The sequence below is a fragment of the Homo sapiens genome, chromosome 4 (assembly GCF_000001405.40).
Source record: "Homo sapiens chromosome 4, GRCh38.p14 Primary Assembly".
Classification (NCBI taxonomy): Eukaryota; Metazoa; Chordata; class Mammalia; order Primates; family Hominidae; genus Homo; species Homo sapiens.
Window position 1 is genome coordinate 43,046,412 of NC_000004.12, and position 10,225 is coordinate 43,056,636.

Here is a 10,225-nt window from a genome sequence, read left to right on the forward strand (position 1 = left end):
CAAGCTGCTGTCTTAAGAAAATCCAGGCGATGAGCTAGAGTGGTTGGTAAAAACGTGTTGTTTAGCTATGTTCAGAAAATGTACTAAACATTTTCCTGTGGTTTAAAAGATAAATCAGGTTACTAAAAAGCCAAAATCTAGATTTTTGATAAGTGAGAATGCCTTATAATTTGTAATAAAATATCTATATAAAGTTACTGGGAAAAGGTAATTAAAACCAAAACATATAATTAGGTTCATAACTTTTTTCCCCAAGCAGTGAACGGGGAGGTCAATCAACACATTGAAAATGAAATGTAAGTGAAAAAACACAGTCAGTTTTTTGTTTTTTCAGCCTTACTGACATTTCTCAAACTCTTGCCAACTCACCAGTGAAAGATAGTGACATTTTTCATGATCTAAAAGAAGGTTGTGGATGTTGGTGAAATACATGCTACTGCTTTTTCACAGCTTGACATATCACATCCTAGAAGTATGTTTTGTTTTAATGTAGAAAACAAGTTCAGAAAATTACTGCCTTTTGAAAAACAAATTTTAGCTTGAAACTTCAGTAGGACTGTAACCATATAACACAAGCAACTGCTGGAGTAAAGAAAGCCACTGATAATTATGAATCTACCCTCATCAACATCTTCCAATTTACTGTAAACTTCATCTCATCACTTTCACAAATTCTAGTGAAGAGAATAATAAACTATCAATGGAGATGTTTATTTCATTGTGTGAAATTCATAGTAGAATTCAATGCCTTTGGTTTCAAAATGAAAAAGAGAGTTTCAACAGCTGGGTTTCAAAGACCATGCAAATTTGAGTCTTATGGGCAACTGAACTGTGAATGTAAGACTTAACTGCTCTTGGCTTGCTCATTTGGAACCCTTCCCTAGCTGTGCACATGCTCTCCAAAGCCATTCATCTCATATCGAATTTCCTGCAAACATACAGACACTTCTGCCCCATTGCACAGCCCACCTAATGCTTTATTCATTTGATTTGATTTATTTATTCTGCACCTATTTCTCCCAGTACTCTGATGTGAACTTAATAAAAATTCAACATCCAAGGCAAATCTAGCAGCCAAAACTGGTTTTAATGAAAGCAGAAGCATACAAGGAAAGTATGGACAGATGAGTTATGCTTTCTGCTCTCAAGACCCTACCAGCAGGAAGCAATGAGGGTTTCAAAGGGGTTCCAAAGTAAAACTACATTTGCCTCTGAAACTTTTAGAGAACACAGTTGAGTTGGCAGTCATATCCAAAGTAGTACGTAAGATAGAAAGGTAGCAATTTTGAAGGCAGCTATTGGATGATAGGCAGTCATTAAGACTAACATAACAATTGCCAAGGTTCATTCCCCAAAAATTCTCGGTATTTTAAGGAGAAGTAATACATTTAAAAAGTAATGATATTAGAACCTTCTGAAAAGAAATACAATGAATTGTGAGAATTCTGAGTATTCTGAAACTTGTTTCAGATATAAAAATATGAAAACTATTGGCAAAGTAGACATGGGAGGGAGAAAATTAGCCACTCAATTTACAAAGTATATGCTACTTTATAAAATGAAAGCTTCATTTTTACACTTGTGTAGGCAAAATGTAGCATTCTAGAAGTCTAACTTCTTGGTGTTTGGCAAATTACTTTAAGAATTAAAAGTTCGGGCCAGGCGTGGTGGCTCACACCTGTAATCTTAGCACTTTGGGAGGCTGAGGTGGGCTGATCACAAGGTCAGGAGATCGAAACCATCCCGGCTAACACAGTGAAACTCCATCTCTACTAAAAATACAAAAAAATTTAGCCCGGCCTGGTGGCTGGCGCCTGTAGTCCCAGCTACTAGGGAGGCTGAGGCAGGAGAATGGCGTGAACCGGGGAGGCAGAGCTTGCAGTGAGCTGAGATTGCGCCACTGCACTCCAGCCTGGGTGACAGAGAAAGACCCTGTCTCAAAAAAAATAATAATAATAACAAAAAAAAGAATTAAAACTTTGGTCACCCTAAGTTAGTTAATCAAACTCCACATCAAACAAGTAAAAGTACTGTTTGAGATGAAAATAAAACAACAGAGTCCTTTGAACTTAATTTTAGAGTGATTAAGATCACAGACTCCAGAGGTCAGGTACATTGTATAGCATAGGAAAAAGAATCAAATCTGATAATAGATTTTAACAATCTTTTTATCTGACATCGGTCAATCAAGAACACAGAGGTGACGCATGTATTCTAGGTATATAAGATTTAATATATGAATCAAGGAGGTATGTAATTGTTGGAAGAGCTGATATCAAGGGAGCTAACATGAAAAACCTCAACCTGAAATTATAAAATACTTGATCGTTGTCAAGAGCTCACCAGGAGGCGCTATATTTCTCAGGCATCTCCAGGAAGCTTTTATCAACATACTCAGTCTACAGTGGTAAGGCTTGTAGTTCTAGAGCTTAGTAGGAAGTCACTGGGTCTCATGTTTGTCCATGCTTCGGACTGCAAATGCCTTGAAAACACAATGGCTTCTCCTTTTTTATCTGACAAATCTCATGTGAAGACCTCTTGTTGGCAAACTAACCTGGAATCACGCAAGAAAGATTATAGGAACTGTAGCCTGCATTTATAATCTTACTTGCATTCCTGAATTAGACCTTAGAAGCGGGTAGAGGTCATGGTAAATTGATGGTGAACTTGCCAGTTTTTGAAGGGTATTTCAGGGAAGTACAGGAAATTGTGTTTCTGATAGACAAACAGGAAAACTACTGTCAAAGTAGATACTGGAGGGAGAAAAACACTCAATTTACAAAGTATACAACACTTTATAAAATGAAAGTTTAGTTTTTGCACTTGTTCAGACAAAACGTAGAATTCTAGAAGTCTAACTTCTTGGTGTTTAGCACATTATTTTAAGGATGCAAGTTACTAAAGGAACTGACTTAAAAGGACAATTAACTTTAAAAGGAATTAGCTGCAAATTTCTGTGGTGGGCATATTTTGAGTATCTGTCCAGCTCATAAAACAATAAAGTCTCCTTTCCTCTGCAGCTTTATTACAACCCCAGTCCCTCAAGCCACATAATGTTTATGAAATCCTTGTTCACAGTTCATTTGACCATGAAAAGGCATTTGGCTCCAGCTAGGTTGATGAGATTCTTCTCTCAGAAATTTTAGATGAGTCTGGGCTTCTCCTGACACTTCCAAATCTAACCTTCAGAACTCTGGGTTAGCCAAGTTCTGCATTCTATGCAAACAGGAAAGGCCATCTACTGAGAGAGGAAAATAAAAAGAAAGTCCAAAGAGAATCAGACTTAGGAAATGTAGTGAGAATGCTACAACTTTCCAACTTCCTGTTGCAGTCTCTTTGGGAGACCTGGAATTGCTTCCCTTGGATTCTATGATAAATTTCTTTGTCCATATAATAAATTTATCTTCCCAGCCCATCTAGGTTTTTTTTTCTTTTTCCTTAAAATATCTTGAGTTGGCTTCTGTTACCTGCAAACATAAATCTCTGTCAAAGGACTGTCATTACATTTAAAATATTTTTGATTCAATTTAATTTGAGTGTATCACTTGAACAAAATAATTTTGTTATTACTTATTCTACTTCTGATTCATTTATTTATTTTCGTAACTTTTAACTGACCTTCCTTATCCTATTCCCACCTCCCTAACAAGAAAATGAGAAGAGAAATAAAATCTGAAATTCAAATCATGTGGCCTGGACTTGCTAAAAACACCAGTAAATGAGAGGCAATTAAATTTAATGACAAAAACGAGGCTCTAGTAAGGCTTCAAAGTAGTCTGTTCCTAAACCTGAGGGGCAAATGAACCACAATGTTATCTTTTAGCAATATAATCAAAGCTACACTCCAGAGAGAATGCATGAGATTTCACATAAAATGACAGATTGCCAGCTTCTCTTCAGCAAGGTAATTGGCCACTGTGGTAAGTATATTATGGCCAACATAAAATATTGTAATAGGTATGGAAACCTGAGCTAGCAACAGCAGATTTAGCAAGTAAGTTAAAAATTTGGCAGAGGAACATTTATTGCTATTGGCTTTCATGTAAGATAAAAGACACATGCATGTGCAAGCACACACACACACACACACACACACAGAGGAATGATTTCTTGTTGGTGCAAGACTTTACTAAAACATTAAAAATGCATATTATTGCTGATATCTGCTTCATCAGTTTCATAAGAACAAAAACAATAACTGTCACTTCATGTATTATTTCTAGCCATTGCTTTCGTATTATTGCATTAAAGCTAATTTTATTCACTTAGACCAAAACATAAAACGTGACCACAAAAGCATTCAACAGGAAACATTTATGACCTAAATAATTCAGGCAGCGGAAGAATTTAGATTGCTTAGTTTCCTTTAAATAATTTAGGGGTGGCACTTAAGGGCACTGAATAATCAATCCACCCATGAATTGAGTAGCAAAATGGTGGTGTATAATTTTTGATATTTAAATCTTAGAGGTCTTTTGTCTTTTATTCCAGAATAATGAATCTGAAAAAGAATTGTTTTAAAAGGAATGGGTTATGTGTAGAATTTTAAAATATCAGCTCTTAGCAACTCATCAGTGCCACTTGGACCGAGTCCTCTGCAAGGAGCCAAAAGATTATAGCCCAATCTAAGGCTCAGCTGGAATAAAGCCTTGTTATTCTTTTCCTGCAAGGCTCAGGTCACATAAATCATTTTCATCTTTTTGATACTGTATATCAAACAGGAGAATAGGTTAAGTTGTGTTCAGGTGAACTAGAGTCATGACAAAATGTTCTTGTAGTAAACATTTCAAATAATATAAAATATTTGTGGGTAACAAACTCACAAGGTTTCTCTCTGCTATAGTTTGAATATGTTCCCTAATGTTCATGTGTTGGAAACTTAATGACCAGTGCAACAGTTTGGAGAGGTGCTTAGATCATGATGGCCAAGCCCTCTTGAATGGATTAATGTCATTATACCAGGAATAGATTCATTAGTGTGAGAGAGGGTTTGTTATAAAGGGGAGTTGAGACTTCTCTTGCTCTCTCTTGCCATGTGATGCCTTCTCCCATGTTATAAAGGTCCTCGTCAGATGTGGCCTCTTAATCTTGGACTTTCCAAACTCCAGAGCCACAGCTAAATAAATTTTTGTTCATCAAAAATTACCCAGTCTGTGGTAGTCTGTGGGAGTAACACAAAATAGCATAAGATGGAAAATTGGTACTGAGAAGTGGGGCTGTTACTGTAAACAAATACAGATGGTGCCCACTTACAATGGTTCAACTTAGGATTTTTTGACTTAATGATGGTGCAAAAATAATATACATTCAGTAGAAACTGTACTGTGAGTACCCAGACCACTATTCTGTTTTTCAGTTTCAGTACAATATTCAATAAATTCATGAGGTATTAAACACTTTATTATAAAATACACTTTGCATTAGATGATTTTGCCTGACTGTAGGCTTATGTGAGTATTCTGAGCACATTTGAAGTAGGCTAGGCTAAGCTATGATGTTCAGTAAGTTAGGTTTATTTTTAAAATTAAGTTAAATTTTTATTAATTTTTATGTTTTTAAGGACAGGATCGGCTCTGTTGTACAGGCTGGAGTGCAGTGGGGCTAACTGCAGCCTCAACCTCCCAGGCTCAAGTGATCCTCCCACCTCAGCCTCCCAATTGGCTGGGACCACAGGCACGTGCCACCATGCCTGGCTAATATTTTTAATTTTTGTAGAGACAGGGTCTCCCTGTTTTGCCCAGGCTGGTCTTGAACTCCTGGACTCAAGCAATCCTCCCACCTTGACCTCCCCAGTTGCTGGGATTATAGATGTGAGCCACCATGCTTGACCAGCTAGGTTCATTTAATACAATTTTGGCTTATAATATTTTCAATTTATGATGAGTTTATCCAGACATAACCCCATCAGAAGTTGAGAAGCATCTATATCTGAAAATGTGGAAGTGGCTTTAGAATTAAGCAATGAGTAGAGGTTGAAAGGGTTTAGAGGAGCAAATTAGAAAAAGCCTCAGTTACCATATATAAAGCATTAAGGATGATTTTGATGAGGGCTCAGAAGATGAGAACTGTAGGGAATATCTAGAACTTCTTAGAGATGACTTACATGGTTGTATTCAACATGCTGGTAGACATCTGGATAGTAAAGTCCATCTGATGAGGTCTCAGATGGAACTGTGGAATAAAGTATCAGAAACTTGAGTAAAGGTTATCCTTGTTTACAGTTGCAAAGAGCTTGGAAGAATTGTGTCAATTTCCTAGGGTTTTATGGAAGCAGAATTTAGGAGTGATGAACTAGAACATCTGGCAGAAGAGCTATCTAAACAGCAAAATGTTCAAAATGCTGCATGGCTTCTTTTGACCACTTATAGTAAAATGAGAGAAGAGAAAAATGATTTAAAGATGGAATTTGTAATTAAAAAGAAAGTAGAAAGTAAAAAATTTGAAAATGTTCAATTCAACCTGCCATGTAAAGAATAAAAAGATGTGTTTAGGAGAACAAACTAAGGTTGCATCCAGGGGACTGTTTACTAAAGAAATTAATATTAAGAGAAGAAAGCCAGGTTCTACTGACCAAGACAATCAAAAAATGACTCAAAGGCATTTCAGAGATCTTTGAGGCAACCTAGAACTTCTACTAAGGTTAAGATTTCCAGAGAGGTGCCTGGAGAATCTCAGCGTTCATTGCCCTGCACTGACTCTAGACTCTGCTCCCTGAATTCTGACACAGCAATCCCCAGCTGCCCCAGCCATAAATCAAGTAGGCCCAGGTGTGCCTTGACCAGCCACTCTGGAAGGTATGAGCCTTAAAACTTGGTGATGTCCATGTGGTGCTAATCCTGTAGGCATGCAAAATGCAAGAGCTGTGGGGGCAGGGACACCTCCATCTGGATTTTGAAGGATGTTACAAACAACCTGAGGGGCCCAGGCACAGACTTGTCAAAGGGCTGAGCCATTGCAGAAAGTCCCCACTGGGTCAATACACAGTGGAACCATGGAAGCAGGGCAGTCTCTGAGATATTAGAACTGTAGGGCTATCAGTGTGCAGCTGTAGCCTGGGAGAGCTGCAAGCATGAGTCTCCAATCCAAGACAGTGGCTGGGTGGGGTGAGCCCAGTAACAACACAGAGGCAGGACTGCCCGAGGCCTTAGGGACCCAAATCCTGTCCCAGTGTGTCCAAGATATGGGACATAGAGTCAAAGGAGATTATTAAGGCATCTTAAAATTTTATATTGTTTTTCTTCTTGGGCTTTGGACTTACCAGAGACCAGATACCTCTTTTTATTGTCTGTGTTCTCTTTCATAGAAAATAAATGTCTATCCTATGCCTATCCCACAACTGTATTTTAGAAGTAGATAACTTACCTTTACAAGCTCAAAGCTAAAGGAGAATTTGCCTCAGAATGAATAGTGTCTTGAGTCTCACCCATATATGATTTAGATTAGACTCTTGATTTTTTAAATTTTGAGTTGATGCTGGAATAAGTTAAGGCTTTGGGGGTATTGGGATGAAATTCATTTTGCATGTGAGAAGAATGTGGATTGAGGGGGATGAATGTGTTCCCCAAAGTTCATGTGTTAGAAACTTAATCCCCAGTGCAACAGTGTTGAGAGGTGGGACTTTTAAGAGATGATTAGGTCATAGGGGCTCTGCCTAAGGAATGGATTAATGTCATTATCATGAGCATGAGATCATTATTGGGAGAGCAGATTTGTTATAAAATTGAGTATGGCCCTTTATTGCTCTCTCTTGCTGTGTGGTGATGTCTTCTATCATGTTATGATACAGCAAGAAGACCCTAACCAGCTGCATCACCTTAATCTTGGACTTTCCAGCTTCCAGAATCATAAACAATATACATTGCTATTCATTGTAAATCACCCAGTCTGTATTTTGGTATTTTGTGAGAGTAGCACAAATGGATTAAGCAACTCTATTTGACCAAGCCAAGAAAGGCATTTGCTTACATATTTATGCTAATTGAATTGTTTAGTTTTAAAACACACCACACTGTTTTAATACAGCATAATTAAAATAAATTTAAGCTATGATGATAAGGAACACATTAAATAAACAAATTTACATAATGAAGTGGTTTGGTTTACAAATTTTAATTTTATAATAAGATTTTATTAAACATGTAACATTAAAATGAAGAGAGATAAGTAAATTAAATACTTATAAGCCCCTTAAAATTACTAGCTGATTAAGTTTCAGTAAATAAACAGGTAATTCACAATTTCATGACTGTTTATTAAAAATACTTCCACAGAGAACAGTTGCACCTGGTCTTTAAAATTTATTGTTTCTATTATTTTACTTTCTGTTTTATTTCCTTTGTTGTTACTTTTTATGACAAGCAATATTTTATTTTAAAATCAGTTTTAATGAGGTGTAATTTACATAAAACAATTTTCACATTAAAAGTATAGATTGATGACTTTTGACAACAGTATACACCTGCTTAATGACCATCTCCATAAAGACAGAGCACGTTTCCATCACCCAGAAGCTTCTTTTGTGTCCTTTTGCTGCCTGTTCCCTATGACTCCCCACCCTCCAGAGCCAAGAAACTACAAATCTGATTTCTTTGATTATAGATTAATTTTGCTTGTTCTAGAATTTCTTATTCACAAAATCACACAGTAATTATTTTTTGTATCTGCCTTATTTTATTAAGCACAGTACCCGTGAGATTTATCAATGCGATTGCATGCATTAGTAGTTTGTTGCATTTATTTATTAAATAGTATTATGCTATATGAATGCACTGTAAGTTGTTCTTTATTCACCTTTTGATGAATATTTCTGTTCTTTCCAACTTTGGGTTTTTGTGGTATTTATTTTATTTTAAGATGATTTCAATTCTTAAATTATATCCAATTTAGATAAAAGTTATAATAATAGCACAAATAATTTCATTTTCCCTTAATCATTAAATAATTAGTCAATAATATGATGCTTCATTACCCCAAATACTTTGATGTGTGATTCCTGTAAACAAGGACATTCCCTTACAAAACCACAATATGACCATCAAAATGAATGCTGATACATTATCGTCATTGAATCTACAGGCCTCATTTAAATTTCATCAGTTGTCCCAAGGATTCAAACCATGACTGCATGTTGCAATCTCTTTAATGTCCTTCAATCAGTGATAGTTCCTCAGTCTTTCCTTGCCTTTCATGATCTCAATATTTTTTGGAATTACAACCAATTACTTGGTAGAATGTTCCTCAATTGGGATTTACTTAATGTTTTTCCATGATTAAAGTTACATATTTTTGGCAAGAATATGAGAGAAGTGATATTACATTCTTGTCATTGTATCCTATCAGTTACTAAACAATTTTAATTTGTCCATTACTGGTGATGTTAATTTTGATCACTTGATTAAGGTGGCATCTGCTATGCTTTTCCACTGTAAAATTACCCATGTGACCTTTTGTGATTAATAAGTATTTTGTAGGGAGGTACTTTGAGACTGTGTAAATTCCCATTGCTCATCAAAATTTAATCTACTCATTTTAGCATTAGATACGTTTGGGCTAAATGAATATTACTGTGCCAAATTGTGATTTTCTAATTCTATCTTTCATTTTACATTTATTGGTTGACTTTATGCCAAAAGCAAATATGTTCTCTTATCTGCACCTATTTATTTGCTTATTTATATTAGTATGGATTCATGGATTCTTAAAGTTTAAATGACTTTTAACTGGTAAATTGTCCTAATCTGCTCAGTTAAGAGTCCCTTTAAGCTAGTCTTTTTGTTCTTTAACATGTCTTTATTATTTTTGAGTACTTTTTTCTTTGTGCTAAAATATTTTCCAGGCTTATTTTTAATTTTTCTTGTCCCTGCTCTAAAACCAGAAATCAATCATTTCACCAATGAGTCTTGGGATGAAGCAAAATGGCAGAACAGAGAGCTCCATGGATCATCCCCCATGCAAGGACACCAAGTTAACAACTATCTACATAGAAAAAAAAACCTTATGAGAATAAAAAATCAGGTGAGTGCTCATAGTACCTGGTTTTAACTTCATATTGCTGAAAGAGGCACAGAAGAGATAGAAAAAACAGTCCTAAATCACCAACACGACCCCTCCTCGATCCCCTGAAGTGGTGGCTCCATGGTGTGGAGAGCATCTCTGGGCACTGAGGGAGGGAGAACACAGCAATTGTGAGGCATTGAACTCAGTGCTGTCCTGCTAAAGAAGAAAA